The sequence below is a fragment of the Homo sapiens genome, chromosome 19 (genome assembly GCF_000001405.40).
Source record: "Homo sapiens chromosome 19, GRCh38.p14 Primary Assembly".
Taxonomy (NCBI): domain Eukaryota; kingdom Metazoa; phylum Chordata; class Mammalia; order Primates; family Hominidae; genus Homo; species Homo sapiens.
The window spans coordinates 18,132,061-18,152,027 of record NC_000019.10 but is presented as its reverse complement, the minus strand read 5'-3'; the positions used below and the strand labels follow the sequence as shown (position 1 = coordinate 18,152,027).

The 19,967-nt window shown below is 54.7% G+C and overlaps 1 protein-coding gene and 1 long non-coding RNA gene across 43 annotated transcripts in view, besides 3 other annotated features; one reads left to right on the top strand and one right to left on the bottom strand.

Annotated features, from left to right (window-relative positions):
* Positions 35–114: an enhancer, noted in NCBI's record as "active region_14300". NCBI's record gives its function as "activates an Ori minimal core promoter by ATAC-STARR-seq in GM12878 lymphoblastoid cells {active_cell/tissue: GM12878}" and the evidence as "EXISTENCE:reporter gene assay evidence [ECO:0000049][PMID:35858748]".
* The window catches only part of MAST3 (microtubule associated serine/threonine kinase 3), a 53,910-nt gene continuing 34,283 nt past the window's right edge, over positions 341–19,967 (bottom strand). For 21 of the 42 annotated variants that reach the window (XM_047438476.1, XM_047438480.1, XM_047438477.1 and 18 more), the window contains 13 exons: positions 17,317–17,449; positions 17,046–17,211; positions 16,187–16,288; positions 14,667–14,789; positions 12,904–13,013; positions 10,013–10,146; positions 8,021–8,265; positions 7,335–7,562; positions 6,799–7,025; positions 6,163–6,285; positions 5,011–5,147; positions 4,404–4,585; positions 341–2,837 (listed from right to left, as the gene is read on the bottom strand). In XM_047438476.1, the coding sequence (XP_047294432.1) occupies positions 2,302–2,837; positions 4,404–4,585; positions 5,011–5,147; positions 6,163–6,285; positions 6,799–7,025; positions 7,335–7,562; positions 8,021–8,265; positions 10,013–10,146; positions 12,904–13,013; positions 14,667–14,789; positions 16,187–16,288; positions 17,046–17,211; positions 17,317–17,449 (2,446 nt within the window). In that variant the 3' untranslated portion in view covers positions 341–2,301. Of the gene's footprint in view, positions 2,838–4,403; positions 4,586–4,983; positions 5,148–6,162; positions 6,286–6,798; positions 7,026–7,334; positions 7,563–8,020; positions 8,266–10,012; positions 10,147–12,903; positions 13,014–14,666; positions 14,790–16,186; positions 16,289–17,045; positions 17,212–17,316; positions 17,450–19,967 lie in introns of all 42 variants that reach the window. The other 21 variants (NM_001393501.1, NM_001393502.1, XM_047438474.1 and 18 more) reach the window with 2 other exon arrangements.
* Positions 5,745–6,245: an enhancer, noted in NCBI's record as "H3K27ac-H3K4me1 hESC enhancer chr19:18256593-18257093 (GRCh37/hg19 assembly coordinates)". NCBI's record gives its function as "activates a minimal SCP1, AML or CMV promoter by ChIP-STARR-seq in naive and primed H9 embryonic stem cells {active_cell/tissue: H9 hESC(naive and primed)}" and the evidence as "EXISTENCE:reporter gene assay evidence [ECO:0000049][PMID:30033119]".
* Positions 6,246–6,747: an enhancer, noted in NCBI's record as "H3K27ac-H3K4me1 hESC enhancer chr19:18256091-18256592 (GRCh37/hg19 assembly coordinates)". NCBI's record gives its function as "activates a minimal SCP1, AML or CMV promoter by ChIP-STARR-seq in naive and primed H9 embryonic stem cells {active_cell/tissue: H9 hESC(naive and primed)}" and the evidence as "EXISTENCE:reporter gene assay evidence [ECO:0000049][PMID:30033119]".
* On the top strand, positions 8,260–12,939 carry LOC124904650 (uncharacterized). Its single transcript, XR_007067153.1, has 3 exons — positions 8,260–8,367; positions 9,968–10,169; positions 12,878–12,939. It is a non-coding gene; the product is annotated as an uncharacterized LOC124904650 (long non-coding RNA).

Sequence of the window (19,967 nt, the reverse complement as noted above, 5' to 3'; positions counted from 1 at the left end):
GAGGCTGCAATGTGCCGTGATTGCGCCACTGTACTCCAACCTGGGTTACAGAGCGAGACCTTGTCTCAAAAACATAAAAATAAAAAACATAGCTCAGGGCCCAGATGTCTGGAGGAAGCTTTTAAAGGCAGGGCTATGATGGAGTACTCGCAGGGAGAGGGTAGCAGGAGGCTGGTACCAGCGATGGCATCAGGAAGAATCTCAACAGCGAACTGCTATGCAGTCCTCAAAACCCACTTGCAATGACTTTGAGCCATGGGTCTATTTCACTCCGCTCCCCTCCCCACTCTTCCCTTCCTCCTTTCTCAGCCCCTCACAAATCCAGACGTTGGAGCTCATCTTTGTAAATACGGGCTTTTATTCACTGCCAGCTCCAGGATGGAAGGAGGGGGTGAATCATGCACAGCCTTGGTCTACCCTCCAACACTAGGCAGTGCTGGACAGGGGACTCAGAAAGGGAAGCAGAGTGGGCTGTTGATGTCTGGAAAGCTCCCTCACCAGAGTGCCCAGTGGGTCACACAGCATCATGGGGGATGAGCTGGGGCTGGAGTCGGCTGTATCTGACACCAGACCCTCCATTCAAGCTCCCTTGATGACAACGCCCACAACAGGGTCTGGCTGATGCTCCGTTCTGCCACGACTCCTGCTGGGTGATCGTGGGACAGGTCTCCGCCCCTCGCTGGGGTCTCAGCTGCTTTGTCTGTAAAATGGAGGTGATGACACCACCTCCAGCCTTCTCAAGGCTGGCTGAGGGAGAAGCCACGTAAAAGCGCTTGGCACACAGTAGGTGCTTAATAAACAGTCAATGGGATTAGTCTTGTAAACACAAGGAAACTGAGGCACAGAGTGGGAAAGCCATTTTCCCAGAGCCACACAGTGAAGCTGAAATTCAAACTTGAGCCTCGACTGGGTTTTCTGGCTTGAACTTCATCCCAGAGAGGCTCTGACATATGGAGGGAACCCCTAACAGGTGTTTCAGACACATCACGGCCAAGGGCTTACTCTGCTGGGCCTCAAACACACGGCATCTTGTCCAGGGTAGACTGGACAAGGCCAGGCCAAGGCAGAGCCTGAGGGGAGGGGACACTGAGTGTTTCTGGAAGTAGCTGGACGTAATCCCGCAGGACTGGCATACTGGAGCGTGCCCCGAGACAGCCGAGCATTTCTGGAGGCTGCCTTGGCAGTTCCAGGTGAGGCCTGTACCTTCCTTTATCAGTGCCCACCTGGGGAGCGGATGACCCCTCTGCCCAGATCCGGTGAACACCTATTCATCCATCAAAGCTCCAGCTCCCATATCCCTTCTCCAGGCTGAAGCCAGCAGGATTGGAGGCAGACTCTATATATAGAGCAGGCACTGCCTGGGCATGGCAGCTATGATGGTGGGAAGTGGCCTTCAGAATCCAGTCCATCGCTGGGATTACATTGTTTTGTGGGTGAGAGGAATTGTTTACGGACACTCCAGGTTGTAGCCGAACTGGGCCGGTACAGGTGACCAGGTGACTTCAACTCCATCCCCTCAAATGGGTAGGTGTGGGGAGGGGAATGAGACCAGGTAACACAAAACACTTAAAAAGTACAGAAAAACTGGAAAACACAAACACAGATGACTTGTCCAAAGTGCATCCTTCTCAGCCCAGAGGGCAGGGCCTGCAAACAGAGTCCCAGGTGCCTGGGGCAAGACCTGGCAGCCGCCTTCAGGGGGCGGCTCAGTACGGCTATCGCTTATAAAAAGTAATAAATTAGGCTGGGCCCAGTGGCTCACGCCTGTAATCCCAGCACTTTGGGAGGCAAAGGCAGGCAAATCATGAGGTCAGGAGTTCGAGACCAGCCTGACCAACATGGTGAAACCCCGTCTGTACTAAAAATACAAAAAATTAGCTGGGCATAGTGGTGGGCGCCTGTAATCCCAGCCACTTGGGAAGCTGAGGCAGGACAATCGCTTGAACTTGGGAGGCGGAGGTTGCAGTGAGCTGAGATCACGCCGCTGCACTCCAGCCCGGGCAACAGAGTGAGACTCTGTCTCAAAAAAAAAAAAAAAAAAAGAAAAAAAAAGTAATAAATTAGTTGCAGGGATTTGCTGCTATTTACAAAGCCACCCTTGTCCCCCATTCTTGCCCCATCCAGCCCCGATTGACACCAGAACACAAGCGATGTCTCCACCTTCCAGCAAGGACCGAGATGGCTTCTCGCCTTCTGGGTGTCAGGCTGGTGGCTCAGTCCCCATCCAGGCATGACTTTACGGAAAAAACATTGCACAAGAAAACGCGTAACTTTGATGCCAGGGAGAGACCTGGCAGGGGATCAGTCTCTTCCGGTGGGCCCGAGAGCTACTGGCACGGCTTCCTCGCCCTCCACGGCGATCTGTGGCACTGAGGTGGGCAGCCCAGTGGCCTCCTCCTGCGGCTCATCGAAGCTAACCTCCTGCACGGCCTCCTGCTTCTTGAAGGAGTCTCGGCGCTCGGACAGGTGCAGCCGCCGCATGACCACGAGCTCGGCCTCTGGCCCACGAGTGCGCCGCCCCGCCTCCCCATCCAGCCGCTCCCCTGTGCCCAGCTTGTCAGCTGACTGGCCCCGGCGCAGCCGCGGGGATCGGGCAGGTGCGGGCGGGTGCCCGGGCAGGGGCGAGGGCGAGCGGGGTGGGGGCGCGGAGATGGGCGGGCAGGCCAGCGGGGAGGGCGGGATGCTGCTGGTGGACTTGCGGCGGCCAGTCTTGGGGCGGGGTGGCCCAAGCTTGGCAGCCAGGCCGTGCAGGGAGCTGGGGCGGGTGTGGCCAGCAGCAGCTGGGGAGGCGGGGCTGCTGGAGCTCGGGGATGCGCTGGGTGGGGATGCAGTGGTATCTGTGGGTGATAAGCGTAGGTCAGGGCTGCTGGCCTCAATGTCCCCAGCCCAGAAGTGGAGCTGTGGGACTGACAAAAACTGCTAAAGCCCACATCCTTCCATGTGGCCACCCATCATGCCTGGTTGTTTTTGTTTTTGAGACAGGGTCTTGCTCTGTTGCCCAGACTGTAGTGCACTGGCTCAATCATAGCCTCAACCTCCTGGGCTGAAGTGATCCTCACAACTCAGCCTCCTGAGTAGCTGGGACAACAGGTGCACGTCACCATGGCTGGCTAATTTTTTTTTTTTCAATAGAGTCTCGCTCTGTCACCCAGGCTGGAGTGCAGTGGCATGATCTTGGCTCACTGCAACCTTCACCTCCCAGGTTGAAATGATTCTCGTGCCTCGGCCCCCTAAGTAACTGGGACTACAGGCATGTGCCACCACATCTGGCTAATTTTTGTATTTTTAGTAGAGTTGGGGTTTCACCATGTTGGCCAGGCTGGTCTCAAACTCCTGACCTCAAGTGATCCGCCTGCTTTGGCCTCCCAAAGTGCTGGGATTACAGGCATGAGCCATCATGCCTGGTTCATGCCAGACTTTTCTGCCTCCTGCTCAGGGTTGTTTCCTTGGCCTAGCTCTGGTGAACTCCCACTCACCCATCAAAGCCCCAGCTCCTACTCCCCCTCCTCCAGAAAGCCTTCTCTGTATCACTTCTGTTTTCTTTTTTTTTTTCCCTTTTGTTTTTTGAGATGGGGTCTCACTCTGTTGCCTAGGCTGGAGTGCAGTGGTGCAATCATGGCTCACTGCAGCCTTGACCTCCTGGGCTCAAGTGAGCCTCCCATCTCAGCCTCCAGAGTAGCTGGGACCACATGTGTGCACCACCACAACCACCTAATTTTTTTTTTTGAGATGGAGTTTTGCTCTTGTTGCCCAGGCTGGAGTGCAATGGCTCAATCTCGGCTCACCGCAACCTCCACCTCCTGGGTTCAAGCGATTCTCCTGCCTCAGCCTCCCTAGTAGCTGGGACTACAGGCATGTGCCACCACACCTGGCTGATTTTGTATTTTTAGTACAGACGGGGTTTCTCCATGTTGGCCAGGCTGGTCTTGAACTCCCGACCTCAGGTGATCCACCTGCCTCGGCCTCCCAAAGTGCTGGGATTACAGGTGTGAGCCTCCATGCCCGGCCTCACACCCACCTAATTTTTTTATGTTTTGTACAGATGGGGTCTCCCTGTGTTGCCCAGGCTGGTCTCAAACTCCTGGGCTCAGTGATCCTCCTGCCTCGGGCTCCCAAAGTGTTGGGATTACAGGCGTGAGCCTCCGTGCCTGGCCTCTTCTCAGTTTTCCCACCCTCCTGTCTAGCCCCATTTGTCCATGATGTTTCCTCTGCTGGGTGCATCCTTCCCTGGCACCTGCATTCGTCTCTAAGTACTCCCAGGTTCCCTGCTAGACACCAGGATCCCGGTCATCTTTTTCCCTACATCGTGTCATTCCATCCCCTGAACTCCTTCCTCCCTCCTGGGGCCCACCAGCCCTTGCTCCCAGGGTAGCCGGGGTGGTGGGGGGTCGGGGTGCACCCACCTGCTGGGACATCAGGGGCTGGGCTTCGGCAGGGAGTGGTGGGGCTGGGGGAGAGGCTGTGGGTGGGCGAGCCGGGGAGGCTCTCACTGGATGACAGTGAGTGGTGGAGTCCGGAGGAGAAGCTGCGGCTGGTGTGCAGCACGGAGGTCTGCTTGGAGATCTTCTTGAAAAGTGACTTCCGCCTGGGGTAAGAAAACCGGAGGCTTCAGAACCCCTGCTCCTGGCCAGGCATGGTGGCTCACACCTGTAATCCCAGCACTTTCAGAGGCCGAGGCAGATGGATCATTTAAGGTCAGGAGTTCGAGACCAGCCTGGCCAACATGGCGAAACCCTGTCTCTACTGAAAATATAAAAATTAGCTGGGCATGATGGTGCACGCCGTAGTCCCAGTTACTTAGGGGGCTGAGGCAGGACAGTCGCTTGAACCCGGGAGGTGGAGGTTGCAGTGAGCCGAGATTGAGCCACTGCACTCCAGCCTGGGCAACAGAGCAAGACTCTGTCTCAAAAAAAAAAAAAAAAAAAAAAGGAAAAAGAAAAGAAAAAAAGAACCCCAGTCCCCGTGGCCCCGCCCCCTGTGTACCGCTCCCTGGTGGTCACTGCCGCGCACCGATCCTGGGTCTCCCGCCGACGGCTCCTCTTGCTCCTGCGTGCCATGCGGCCCTTGGCCACATTCTTCCGGGCGGGGCCCACCTTGATGGAGGTGTTCTCCAGGGCTGTGGTCCGCAGGGATATCTTGTTGCCGCTCTGCGGGAGGGATGGTGAGGGGTTGCCTCTGTGCCTCTCACAGGGCCCAGCACTTGCCAGGCAGCTGCTATGTCCCCTTCACTCCGGGCACCAGCTGGGACCCACCACCCCAGCATCCATTCATCCACACAACCAGTGACCTACCCAATATATCCGGTCAAACAATAGCCCAGGGAGCACCACCCCTCCTGCTAAGATCCTTCCCTCTGCGGTCAACGCCGATCGAGGCCTGCCCTCTTCACTCTCCACCCTCCCGGGGTCTGTCACCCACCTATCTGGTATCCACCCATTAATCACCCCAACATCTCCCCATCCCCCAATCACTCACCTAATGGCCCATGAGTCATTAGGCCAAAGACACCTACCCAGTGTCCAGCTATTCAATGAACCACCCATGCAGCTGCCCACATGAGAGCCCTCTATTTTTTTAGAACCAGGGAGGGTCTCACTCTGTGTCCCAGGCTGGAGTGCAGTATGGCACGATCACAGCTCACTATGGCCTCAACCTCCTCGGCCCAAGCGATCCTCTCACCTCAGACTCCTAAGTACCTAGGACTATAGGCGCATGCCACCATGCCTAGCTAATTTTATTTTTTAATTTTTTGCAGAGATGGGGGTCTCGCTCTGTTGCCCAGGCTGGTCTCAAAGTCCTGAGCTCAGGTGATCATCCTGCCTCGGCCTCCCAAAGTGCTGGGATTACAGGCGTGTGCCACCGCGCCCGGCCCTTCCTCCTGTCTTGAGCCCATCTCCTACCTCCAGGCCTCAGGCCAGAGGGAGGAACAGATGTGAGGGTGCCCAGGGAGAAGGGAGGGCTTCCTGGAGGAGCAGCTCTAAGGGGTGATGTTGGGGGCTGAAGAAGGACATGTATTCTGGGCCGAAGGAAGTGGATGTGCCAGGCCTGGAGTTGACATTGAATGTGGGGTTGTGTGTCTGGACGCGGAGAACCACGGGGAACCGGGAGCTGCGGCCAAGGGGTGCTGGGGAGCCCTGAGGGTGGGCAGTGGGGGTGCCGCACCTTCAGCAGCAGCTCCACGACGTCCATGTGCACCAGCCCCAGCACTGACTCCCCGTTGATGTGGGTGATGAGGTCCCCAGCCCGCAGGCCCGCCTCCTGGGCGGGGCTTCCGTCCTCCACACTCTGGGGGCAGACGAGAACGGTGGGGTCAATGGCCTGGGCCCCACATCTGGGGACCCCAGCCCAGGCTGGGTCTGCTGTGGGACCCCAGCAAGCTGCTGCCTCTTGTGCTGTCTCAGTTTCCCTGATCCTGGGGGAACTCCTACTCACCCATCAAAGCCCCAGCTCCTACGCCCCCTTCTCCAGAAAGCCTTCTGTGTCTGTTCAGGGAGCAACCAATAGGGAGGGCATGCCTCGACGCCCTTGGGCTGGGAGAGGGAGGATAACATGCCCAGTGCGTCCCCATATGGAGCTGGGAGGTTAATGCCACTTGGGATCTGTGAGCTTCCATCCATCCATCCTTGTCTCTCTCATCTGACCTCCTCCCTGCCAAATGACAGGGACCGAGATGAACTCGGTGGCACCAGCTCTATCTACCTAACCCTGCCAGGCTCCAAAATGCAGCTCTGAGAAGGGACATGACCGGGCAGAGTCAAACTAGAACCCGGGTCCCTGCCATTCCCACTCGGCACTCACCCAGACGACGTGGTGCACAGTGTAGACGTCGCTATCACCCATGTAGACGCGGATCGCCCGCAGGCTGAAGCCGTACTTCTTGCCAGAGCTGTGGATAACGATGGGGGGCCGCAGGCTGCCACACACGGGGGACGGGTCTCGGCTCGGCGAAGAGTCACGGGACGACGGGTTCGAGGACAGAGAGCGCGGGGAAAGGGGGCTCATGAGGGGGCCGCCGCTGCCATCATCTGCAGGGGGTTAGGGAGGGGGTCACTCACTCCCTCACAGGTCTCCCCTGGGGCCCCCTCTTTCCCACCACAACGACCACCCTGGCCACTTTGCTGTTGCTTCAATGTCCCAAGCATGGTCACCCCACCAGGCCTTTGCACGTGCAGTGCCCTCTACTGGGAACACCATCTCCCCAGCTCTCCATGTGTCCTACTCCTCCTCCCCTCTTCTGGGGCTCATCCCCAGCCTCCCCAACTCAGGAAGGGCCCCCACCCTGTTGGTGAAAATGGGTGCAGACAGACAAAGGTGAGAGGGGCCTTGGGCATTACCTGCCGTGATGATGAGGGACAGGGCAGAGACAGAGGCTGACTTGGGCACGCGGCCCCCACTGCCGCCACCACTGCCACCGCTGGAGGAGGCTCTGGACTTCTCAGGGGCTGGGTCTCTTGGGCCCCCAAGGCGGCGGCCCCGGCCGGCATCCAGAGGCCTTGGTGTGGAGTGTCGGGCGCCGATGCTATTGCTCCGTAGGCGGGCGTGGCTGAGAGCAGCTGTGTCGGCTAGAGGGTCAGCAGGGTCAGCTGGGTGCCCCTCAAACTCACCATGTGGTCCTAAAGGGACCTTAAGGCCCTTCCTCCCTGGTCACTATTTACACAGTCCAGCCTCCTGGCCTTTGCTCATGCAGTTCCCTCTTCCTGCACTCCCTTCCCAAATTATTCTCTATGCAAAAGTCTTCAAGTCCCCTCCTCCAGGAAGCCTTCCTCCACACCCATTTAGACCCTTAGTTCCCCCATCTTGGGAGCTAGGGGTCCCATCCTGACTCTATGAAGCTGGGGGCATTTACCCTAGACTGGGGTTCCTTGGGGGCTGGGGGTCTCTCTGGGACCCTGGCTTCTCCTCTCTTAAAGCCTTTGTTGGCTCTGGAGAACTCCTACTCATCCTTGAAAACCCATCTCAAATAGCCCCTCCTCTGGGAAACTTCCATGACATCATCCCTCTTACTCAGGGCCCCACTTACCAGAAAGGCTCGAGGGCTTGGGCATCACTGGGGTGGCCGCTGGTGGGGGGTCAGGCTCCCCTAGAATGAAGACGGGCCTCTTGGGGCCTGCAGGGCCTGGGCCTACCCCCTCATCCTCTGATGAGAAGGCAAACTTGGGCATTGTGTCCAGGCTGATGGTATTCAGGAGAGATGGGCTGGGACCCCGCTCGGGCTGGGACGAAGATGACTGACAGGAGGATCCAGAGGATGTCCAGGACCTCAGCCTGCAGGGAGGAAGAGCCTGCATCACCCCTGCCAGGCACCTGCACCCCAGGATACTCAGCCACCTTCATGGCCACATCTTAACTCTCAGTCTGCAGTCAAGGGTAATTTGCATAGACAGGACGAGTTCCTTCTGTCTGCACTGTCCTCTCTGTCCACCTGGAGACCGCTTATTCACCTTTTTTTTTAAAGACAGGGTCTCACTCTGTCACCCAGGCTGAAGTGCAGTGGTGCAATCTCAGCTCACTACAACCACTGCCTCCAGGGCTCAAGTGAGTCTCCTGCCTCAGCCTCCCAAGTAGCTGGGATTATGGGTGCCTGCCGCCACACTGGGCTAATTTTTGTATTTTTAGTAGAGACGGGGTTACACCATGTTGGCCAGACTGGTCTTGAATTCCTGAGCTCAAGTGACCTGCCTGCCTTGGGGTCCCAAAGTGCTGGGATTACAGGCGTGAGCCACTGCACCCGGCTTCCTATTCAACTTTTAAAACCCAGCTTCCAGGCTGGGTGCAGTGGCTGACACCTATAATTCCAGCACTTTGGGAGGCTGAGACAGGAGGATTGTTTGAGGCCAGGAGTTCGAGACCAGGGCGGGCAACATAAGGAGACCCCATCTCTGCAATTTTTTGTTTTTTGTTTTGTTTTTTTTTTTTGAGACAGAGTCTCGCTCTGTCACCCCGGCCGGAGTGCAGTGGCACGATCTTGGCTCACTGTAACCTCCGCCTCCCAGGGTCAAGCAATTCTCGTGCCTAAGCCTCCCAAGTAGCTGGGATTACAGGCGTGCACCACTATGCCCGGCTAAATTTTTGGAGTTTTAGTAGAGATGGGGTTTTGCCATGTTGACCAGGCTGGTCTTGAACTCCTGACCTCAGGTAATCCACCTGCCTCGGCTTCCCAAAGTGTTGGGATTACAGGTGTAAGTCACTGCACCTGGCCTACAAAAAATTGCTTAAAAAATTAGCCGGGTGCCGTGGTGCACGCCTGTAGTCCCAGCTACTTGAGAGGATCTCTTGAGCCCAGGAGTCTGAGGCTGAAGTGAGCTATGATCGTGCCACTGCACTCCAGTCTGGGAGACAGAGTGAGAACCAGTCTCTTAAAAAAAGAAAAAAAAAAAAGGCCGGGCACATTGGCTCACGCCTGTAATCCTAGCACTTTGGGAGGTTGAGGAGGGCGGATCACGAGGTCAGGAGACCGAGACCATCCTGGCTAACATGGCAAAACCCCGTCTCTACTAAAAATATAAAAATTAGCCGGGTGTGGTGGCAGGTGCCTGTAGTCCCAGCTACTCGGGAGGCTGAGGCAGGAGAATGGCGTGAACCCGGGAGGCGGAGCTTGCAGTGAGCCGAGATTGCGCCACTGCACTCCAGCCTGTGCGACAGAGCGAGACTCCGTCTCAAAAAAAAAAAAAAAAAAAAAAGGCCAGCTTCCAACACCCATCCTCTAGCAGACATTGACTGTTTCTGTTGGGTCTGAGCTTTGAAGGATGAACAGGAGTTAGTAAGCAAAGGGCATTCTGGACAGAAGGAAAAGTGTGCCTAGCAGCATGATGGTACACAGCTGTTTTATGTTTGCATGGTGAGGAACACAGAGCCAAAGGGAGCAAGGTTGCCAGGGACCTGATAGGCTGGTCAATATGTTTGACCCTTTTCTACTTGGCCACTAGGAAGCTCCCTTTGCATCAGATTTTGTGTCTCTACCTCCCAGCAGGCTTGGAAGCTGGATCTGCCTACACTTCCCCAGGCCACTTACCGGATGTCAGCACTCAGCCGGCGGCCATAGTCCACTTCGCTGCGCTCCCACCCCTCCTCCCGGTCTTCACTGAAGCTCCTTTCAGCGAAGGTAGGAGTGGGCTGGACGGCCAGGAACTCAGAGCTGCTGTAGACCTGGGAGGCAAGACAAAAGAATGGTAAGCCGGGTGCGGTGGCTCATGCCTGTAATCCCAGCACTTTCAGAGGCCCAGCTGGGAGGATCACTTGAGCCCAGGAGTTTGAGACCAGCCTGGGCAACATAGCAAAACCCTGTCTCAAAAAAAGAAAAAAAAAGAAACCCAAACAAAAAAACCAGTAACAAAGGTGGCAAGAAAGCTGGCTTAGACCAGGCCTGGTGACTTATGCCTGTAATCCCACCACTCTGGGAGGCTGAGGTGGGCGGATCACTTGAGGTCAGGCGTTCAAGACCAGCCTGGTCAACATGGTGAAAACCCGTCTCTACTAAAAATACAAAAATTAGCTGGGCGTGGTGGCACATGCCTGTAGTCCCAGCTACTTGGAAGGCTGAGGCAGGAGAATGGCTTGAACCCAGAAGGCGGAGGTTGCAGTGAGCCGAGATTGTGCCACTGCACTCCAGCCTAGGAGACAGAGCGAGACTCTGTTTCAAAAAAAAAAAAAGAAAGCTGGCTTAGTCCAGTGATTCCTATGTACCAGTTGCTTCAGTATGAGTCACTTCTCTAAATCCTCACTCCCCACATCCCTAAAAGAGCATAGACTTTAGCCCATTGTACAGATGGAAAAACTGAGGCTCAGGGGCCAGGCTACCAAGCTGCGTTTTTGCTGTTGACTAGAAAGTCCTGCCTGGGGCCCAGGCCTAAAGCAGAGTGGAGCATTTTTTGATCAGATCATAAAAAAAGTAGGGAATGTAAGTTAAGCTCGTGAGGTTATAAAATAACATCCAGGGCCAGGTGCGGTGGTTCATGCCTTTAATCCCAGGACTTTGGGAGGCTGAGGCAGGCGGATCGCTTGAGGACAGGAGTTTGAGACCAGCCTGGGCAACATGGTGAAACCTGGTCGCTACTAAAAATACAAAAATTAGCCGGGTGTGGTGGCGCGCACCTGTAATCCCAGCTACTCGGGAGGCTGAGGCAGGAGAATCGCTTGAACCCAGAAGGTGGAGGTTGCAGTGAGCTGAGATTGCACTATTGCACTCCAGCCTGGGCAACAGAGCAAGACTCCATCTCAATAAATAAATAAATAAGTAAATAAACTAAAATGGTACCTGTATTCACAAGGTGGAATAGACCCAAATGTGCATCAAAGATGGGTGGATAAACAATGTGTTCCATCCATATGATGGAATATTACTCAGCCATAAAAAGGAAGCAAGCACTGGTCCACACTGCAGTAGGGATGAGCCTTGAGTACGTGATGCTGAGTAAGAGAAGCCAGACCCAAAAGGCCACATAGTGTGAATTGCATTGATATGAAATGCCCAGAACAGGCAAATCCATAAAGATGGAAGCTGAAGGAGGACAAATGGGGAGTGGTTGCTAATGGGTACAAATTTTTGGGGGAATCAAACATTTGAGAGCTAGATAGAGGTGATGGTTGCACAACATTATGAATGTGCTGAATGCCACGAAATTGTACACTTTATTATTATCATTATTTTTTGAGACAGAGTCTCGCTCTGTCGCCCAGGCTGGAGTGCAGCGCTGTGATCTCAGCTTACTGCAGCCTCCACCTCTGGGGGTTCAGGCAATACTCTTGCCTCAGCCTCCCGAGTAGCTGGGGTTACAGGCACCCACCACCGCCTGGCTAATTTTTGTATTTTTAGTAGAGACAGGGCTTCACCATGTTAGTCAGGCTGGTCTTGAACTCCTGACCTCAAGTGATCCGCCTGCCTCGGAAATTGCCTTAAAATGGCTAAAACAGGCCGGGCACGGTGGCTCACGCCTGTAATCCCAGCACTTTGGGAGGCCGAGGCAGGTGGATCACGAGGTCAGGAGATCGAGACCATCCTGGCTAACACGGTGAAACCCCGTCTCTACTGAAAATACAAAAAATTAGCCGGGCGTGGTGGCGGGCACCTGTAATCCCAGCTACTTGGGAGGCTGAGGCAGGAGAATGGCGTGAACCCGGGAGGCGGAGCTTGCAGTGAGCAGAGATCACGCCACTGCACTCCAGCCTGGGCAAAAGAGCGAGACTCTGTCTCAAAAAAAAAAAAAGAAAAAAAAAAAATGGCTAAAACAAAAGCAAATTAAAACAACAAAACAAAATAAAAAAATACAAGGCCGGGTGCGATGGCTCATGCCTGTAATCCCAGCGCTTTAGGAGGCCGAGGCGGGCAGATCATGAGGTCAAGAGTTTGAGACCAGCCTGGCCAACATGGTGAAACACCATCTCTACTGAAAATACAAAAAAATTTGACCAGGTGTGGTGGCTCATGCCTGTAATCCCAGCACTTTGGGAGGCTGAGGCAGGAGGATAGCCTGAGGTCAGGAGTTTGAGACCAGCCTGGCCAACATGGTGAAACCCCATCTCTATTAAAAATACAAAAATTAGCTGGGCGTGACGGCATGCGCCTGTAATCCCAGCTACTCGGCAGGCTGAGGCAGGAGAATCGCTTGAACCTGGAAGGCAGAGGTTGCGGTGAGCCGAGACTGCGCCATTGCACTCCAGCCTGGGCAACAGAGCGAGACTCCATCTCAAACAAAACAAAACAAAAAACCAATACAATTCCTAGCACTTTGGGAGGCTGAGGTGGGAGGATCACTTGAGTTCAGGAGTTGGAGACCAGCCTGGGCAGCATAGCAAGACCTCATCTCTACAGAACAAAACAAAGCAAAATCAAAAAACAGATACGAAAGCAAACAGACATCATGCAATGTTTTCTGAGCAGTGGCTCCCCTCGGGACCCGGGCCCACCTTGCTGAACCGGTGGGAGCAGGAGGAGAACTGGGGGATCTCTGTGGACGATTCTTCATCATTGGTCTCGTCGTCCTCGGAGCCCAGATGGCGGTAACGTTCCGAACGTGCTGTGGGAGGGAGAGGCACATGCAGCACGCCTGATGCCCAGAGATGATCTCAAGGGCGGTGTGGCAATACGGGGAGGGCATCTCAGGATAGGGTCACTGCCAGGGCAAAGGCTCTGAGGTGGGACAGTGCCTGGTGTGTTTAAGGACCACGGGAGGCTTGGGCGGCAGAGCAGATATCTGGGGATCAACACCAGCTGTGTCCCTAAAAAGTTGTGGGGCCGGGTGCGGTGGCTCACGCCTGTAATCCCAGCACTTTGAGAGGCCAAGGTGGGTGGCTCACTTGAGGTCAGGAGTTTGAGACCAGCCTGGCCAACATGGTGAAACCCCATCTCTACTACAAATACAAATATTAGCTGGGCAGTAGTGGTAAGCGCCTGTAATCCCAGCTACTTGGGAGGCTGAGGCAGGAGAATCGCTTGAACCCGGGAGGCAGAGGTTGTGGTGAGTCGAAATCGCACCACTGCACTCCAGCCTGGGTGACAGAGCAAGACTCCATCTCAAAAAATAAATAATTAAAAAGTTGTGGGACCAATTAGCCAAGCATGGTGGCAGGCACCTGTAATCCCGACTACTCGGGAGGCTGAGGCAGATAATTGCTTGAAACCGGGAGGTAGAAGTTCCAGTAAGCCGAGATCGCGCCACTGCACTCCAGCCTGGGCGACAGAGTGAGACTCCGTCTCAAAAAAAAAAAAAACAGGTTGTGGGACCAGGGGCGGGAATTCCTATTTCTGAGCTTCAGTGATTCCTTGAAATGGGTCACACAGAATTAGGTAAAATTGCGCATCTTTTTTTTTTTTTTTTTTTTTCAGGCAGTTTTGCTCTTGTTGCGCAAGCTGGAGTGCAATAGTGCCATCTCAGCTCACTGCAACCTCCACCTCCTGGGTTCAAGCAATTCTCGTGCCTCAGCCTCCCAAATAGCTGGGATTACAGGCATGTACCACCATGCCTGCCTAATTTTTTGTATTTTTAGTAGAGATGGGGTTTCTCCATGTTGGTCAGGCAGCCTGGTCTCGAACTCCTGACCTCAGGTGATCTGCCCACCTCAGCCTCCCAAAGTTCTGGGATTAAAGGCTTGAGCCACTGCGCCTGGCCAAAATTGTGCATCTCCAACATAAAGGATGTTCCTCATTTTACAGAAGAGGAAACAGAAGCTCAGAGAAGACCTCTGACATGAAGCAAGTTCTGAAGGAGGTGCTGGACACTGAAGGGCAGGAACCCCAAGTGGGGAGAGAGAGAGTCATTCCTCAGAGCTCACCTACAGTGCCCCTGCAGGGACGCCTCCAAAAAAGCTGCACTAGGCGCCCTACCCTCCTGGGTAACAGATGGGGCCCCATGCCTGGTCAGGGACGGACACCCAGGAGGCCCAACTTGCTGGGGAACCCCAGACAAGGGTCTGCCACACTTGGTGCCTTGGTTTCTCCTTCTGAAGCCTGAGGGATGCTGTGGCCTCCTGAGCCCAGACACACAGGAAATCCAGCCAGGGGGCGGCCGACACACGCCCTAGATTCTTGGAAGGCTCAGGAAGTCGGAAGCTCCAGGCCTAAGGTGAGGTGCCAAGCTCGGGTGGAATGCCTGGCACACAGCCCTCTGCCCCCAGGGACTGAGGGATGGCAGAGCACCCCCCGCCCCCCCTCCAGGGGGATCCCTCCTTACTGTCAAAGTAGCTGGTATCATCCTCAGCTTCGAGCTGGGGCACGAACTCGGCTTTGTGTCGGAGAAGCCCTGCCCAGTCCAGGGCCAGGAAAAAGGGGTGCTGCTTCACTTCGTGGGTGCCACCTGCAGATATGCCCCGCTGAGCCCTGCAGGTCCTCACCTCACCCGCCACAGGATGCCCCCCTACCCCCACTGCCCATGCTGGACACATAGTAGGGACAACACAGAACCAGAAAAATGGGCCGGGCGCAGTGGCTCACACCTGTAATCCCAGCACTTTGGGAGGCCAAGAAGGGAGGATCACCTGAGGTCAGGAGTTCGAGACCAGTCTGGCCAGCATGGCAAAACCCCATCTCTTCTAAAAACACAAAAATTAGCCGGGTGTGGTGGCTGGTGCCTGTATTCCCAGCTACTCGGGAGGCTGAGGCAAGAGAATCGCTCGAACCTGGGAGGTGGAGATTGCAGCAGTGAGCTGAGATAGCACCACTGCACTCCAACCTGGGCAACAAAGCAAGACTCTGTCTCAAAAAACAACAACAACAACAACAACAAAGAACCAGAAAAATGGGAACAAAAATCCGCTGTCATTTAGGAGCCTGGAGAGGGACGAAGCCAGGATTCAAACCCAGGCCAGCAGCCAGGCATGGTGGCTCATGCCTGTAATGCCAGCACTTTGGGAGGCTGAGGCGGGCAGATCACTTGAGGTCAGGAGTTTGAGACCAGCCTGGGCAACATGGTGAAATTTCGTCTCAATTTCGTCTCTACCAAAAGTATAAAAATTAGCCGGGCATGATGGCACATGCCTGTGGTTCCGGCTACTCGGGAGGCTGAGGTGGGAGGATCGCTTGAGCCTGGGAGGCGGAGGTTGCAGTGAGCCAAGATTGTGCAACTCCACTCCAGCCTGAGTGACAGAGTGAGATCTAATCTCAAAAAAATAAAAAAGCACCCAGGCTGCCCAGGTTCCAAAGATTCTGCCCTTCTCTCTGCTGCCATCTGGGACCACACCGCCTAGAGAAAGCCCAGAGCCTTACGAGGGCCTCCTTCCCGGGCTTCTCCCACTTCTGCTCCACAGAGCAGGTGATGATCCCCGACCTTGGACCCAACCGTCTCCCATAGCAAAGCCTCAGTCATGAACAGGAGCCATAGTGGCCACGTGATGGGTGGCTGCATGAGTCTCAAACGGTCCCTTAATGATTAACCAGGTGGCTGGGAAAACTGGGACAGTGGGATCTTCTGGGCTGGGCCTTTGACACAGGTCCTGGTGACTTTACAGCCTCACACACTTATTCAGGCTCAGTGCTCCATATGGGCACCAGACCCAGCTACTTTCTATTCTTTCCAAGGTCTTGTGATAGTTCCTGGAGAACTCCTGTGCATCCTTCAAAACCCTAGCTGCAAACCCCCTCCTCCATGCAGCTTCCCAAGTAGAACTCTTGTCTACCCCGGGCGCTATCCCTCCATTCCCTGGGTCCCAGGGCCTGAAGGAGCCACCCACCTGGGTTCTCCCCCACACTACATACCAGTGCCCAGACGGTCCAGCGGGCTCTGCCGGAGCAACCTGGTGATGAGGTCCTGGGCGTCTGCTGGAAGGGCCTCATCTCCCTCTGGCCACATGATCTCATCTAAAATGAGGGAGGGAGGTAAAATGAGGGAGGGAGGGAGAAGGCAGGGTACCCCTTTCTAGTACCATCCACCATTTCCCCTCACTTCACTGTACTCCAAGCCACTGGCCTCCTCTGCCCCTGCAACGTGGCAGGCTTGGTACCCACTGACAGCCTTTGCCACAGCTGTGCCCTATGCTCAGAGCCACCTTTCTCTTTTCTGTCTCTATGGCTTTCTCTCATTCTCAGGTTCTTGCAGGTCTCTGCTCACATGTCACTTCTTTTTTTTATTTTTTGAGATGGAGTCTCGCTCTGTCACCCAGGCTGGAGTGCAGTGGCACAATCTCAGCTCACTGCAACCTCTGCCTCCTGGGTTCAAGTGATTCTCTTGCCTCAGCCTCCCAAGTAGCTGGGATTACAGGTGCCCGCCACCATGCTCGGCTAATTTTTGTATTTTTAGTAGAGATGGGGTTTCACCATGTTGTCCAGGCTGGTCTTAAACTCCTGACCTTATATGATCCTCCCGCCTCAGCCTCCCAAAGTGCTGGAATTACAGGTGTTTGCCACTGTGCCCAGCCTCACAAGTCACTTCAGTGAAGCCTCTGTGACCCTATAATTAATCCAGCCACCCGCCTCACTCAGCACCCCACCGCCTCCCCACCTGGCATCCAACTCCCTCCCCTCTTCCTGCTTCTCTCCCTGACATGCGGGTGGAGGACCGCTGCCCAGAGCTCTGGTGGGGCTGCAGCTCAAACCCAGGCCCGTGGAGGAAACGCACCGCTGACCACCTGACCGAAGAGTTCCTCGGGGGTATCTCCAAAGAAAGGCACGCAGCCCACCAGAAACTCATAGAGGACGACGCCCATGGCCCACCAGTCCACTGGCTTCCCATAGCCCTGGCGGAAGATCACCTCGGGGGCTATGTACTCCGGCGTCCCACACACCTGGGCCAGGGAGAACGGGGAAACTGAGGCCAGCCCCCAGCCCAAGAGAGGTCCCAGGAGAGAGGAGGAGGCATCCCGGGGCTGCCCACCCACCTGCCCGCCCACCTGCTTGTCGATGAACTCTCGGGCGTCCTTCTCGATGTGGCCCTCATAGAGGTTGGTGGCCATGCTCATGAGGCCGATCTTGGACAGGCCGAAGTCCGTGAGCTTGATGTGGCCAAGCGAGGTGATGAGCAGACTGTGGGCAGGTTAGGAGTGTGCTCAGAGCTGGGGGGCTGGGGTGCCTGGCCTCCCCTTCTGCCCTAGACCTTGGCTCCGCCTGAGATGGGCAGAGCTCTGCCTCCAACTCCTGGGCCCTAGCGATCCTCCTGCTCAGCCTCCCAAGTAGCTGGAACTACAGGTGCACACCACCACACCCAGCTAAGGTTTTTTTTGTAGACATAAGGTCTTGCTATGTTGCCCAGGCTGGTCTTGAATTGCTGGCCTCAAGCAATCCTCCCACCTTTGAAAGTGCTGGCATGACAGGTGTGAGCCAGCATGCCTGGTCTCTACTGTGTGTGCGTATATGTGTGTGTGTGTATATATATATATATTTTTTTAGTGTACTTTTAGTAGAGACGGGGTTTTGCCGTGTTGGTCAGGCTGGTCTTGAACTCCTGATCTCAGGTAGTTCACCTGCCTCGGCCTCCCAAAGTGCCGGCACAGAATTGTTTCTTTACAGAGCTGGAGCAAACAGGAGGTACTGACTACATAGTTCATTAAATGATGGTTATACACAGTGAATTCTCTGGAATGTATTTTTAAGTGGCAGATGCACCCAGAAGGTGCACGGAAATGCGACTTCATACAGCTGGTGCATAAGACACTATGATGTAGCAAAACATTTATATATTTAAGTCCATAGGAAAACCTAAACAGCAGTATATACTGTACTTGCGTGAGAGTTTTAAAAATGAGTTCATTTGCCGGGCGCAGTGGCTCACAACTGTAATCCCAGCACTTTGGGAGGCCGAAGCCGGCAGATCACCTGAGGTCGGGAGTTCAAAACCAGCCTGACCAACATGGTGAAACCCCGTCTCTACTAAAAATACAAAAATTATCTGGGCGTGGTGGCGCATGCCTGTAATCCCAGCTAATTGGAAGGCTGAGGCAGGAGAATCGCTTGAACCAGGGACTCTGAGGTTGCAGTGAGCCGAGATCGCACCACTGCACTCCAGCCTGGCGACAGAGTGAGACCCCGTCTCAAAAAAAAAAAAAAAAAAAAAAATTAGCTGGGCGTAGTGGTGGCGCATGCCTGTAATCCCAGCTACTCGGGAAGCTGAGGCAGGAATATTGCTTGAACCCGGTAGGCGGAGGTTGCAGTGAGCCAAGACTGCGCCACTGTACTCCAGCCCGGGCGACAAAGACTGTCCCTGTCTCAAAAAATAAATAAATAAATAAAGATAAAGTGTTCTGGGCCAGGTACACAGTCATTGCCTAATAACTGTTCTTCTGCCTATTTTGTATACACCTGGTGCCTAACAAGTACATGCCAACCAAGAAAATGTGATATAGAAACCCAACGTTAGTGTGTAAGGAGTTATTCATGCTTCTGAGTTCCTTAGAGCATCGAGCACAGGCCCAAGTATACAGCAGGTGCCACATACATGTCTGTTTTCTAAGCCACTTGCCAACTGCAAAATGCCCTGAAAACATGCGAGGCGCTTTTTTTTTTTTTTAAGATGGAGTCTCGCTCTGTCGCCCAGGCTTGGGTGCAGTGGCACGATCTTGGCTCATTGCAACCTCCGCCGGGTTCAAGAGATTCTCCTGCCTCAGCCTCCTGAGTAGCTGGGACTACAAGTGCGCGCTACCACTCCCAGCTGATTTTTGTATTTTTAGTAGAGACAAGGTTTCACTATGTTGGCCAGGCTGGGCTTGAACTCCTGACCTCAGGTGATCCGCCCGCCTTGGCCTCCCAAAGTGCTGGGATTACAGGTGTGAGCCACCAAGCCTGGCCTACATGCAAGGCTCTTAACACTCATGTTCACATCTCCACACATGTATGTGAGAAATGTCAGTTCTTGCCTCGTATCTCGAGGACACCTGACAAACAGGCATTCCTTTTTCCCTGCACACAGCAGGCGCTCAATAAATGCAGAGGAGAAAATAATACAGGGGTTTCAAAGCAGGTGGCCCTGTGTCTCCCAGTTGCCCACAGAGGGTCTGGCATGCAGTAGGTGCTTACCACCTACCAGAATAAAATAAACATCCTAAGGCTCTCAGTAAACACGTTCTCTTCCTTGCTTTCCTGCACTAATATACAGCAGGTGCTCAAGACATGCACGGTCACTGTCTTTACATGTAAGGTCTCGCAAATTGCATAATCCTGTTCTGTGTGTGTAGTTGGTGTCTTATAAGTGCATGTTCTCTCCCCTTGTGCAGCAGCAGCTCTGGGTGCGCAGCCCCTTCTCCTGTATACAGTGTGTGCATCCTAAGTGCACATCCTCTCCCCTGGATTGGCAGCACCTCCATAAGTGCACCGGCCTTCCCCTGCATACAGCAGACGCCTATTAAGTGTCTGCTCTCCTCTCCTCTGTACACACAAGATGTTCACCATGCGCTCATTCCCTGCCTTCCTGTCAGGAGGTACCAACAGAGCTCAGACAGATGGGGCTCCTGAAGGGTCCCGGGATGCACCTCAGAGGCTCTGCCCTGATCCTCTTTGGCCCCGCCCCTGATCCTCTCTGGCCCCGCCCTCCGCGAGGCCCCGCTCATGC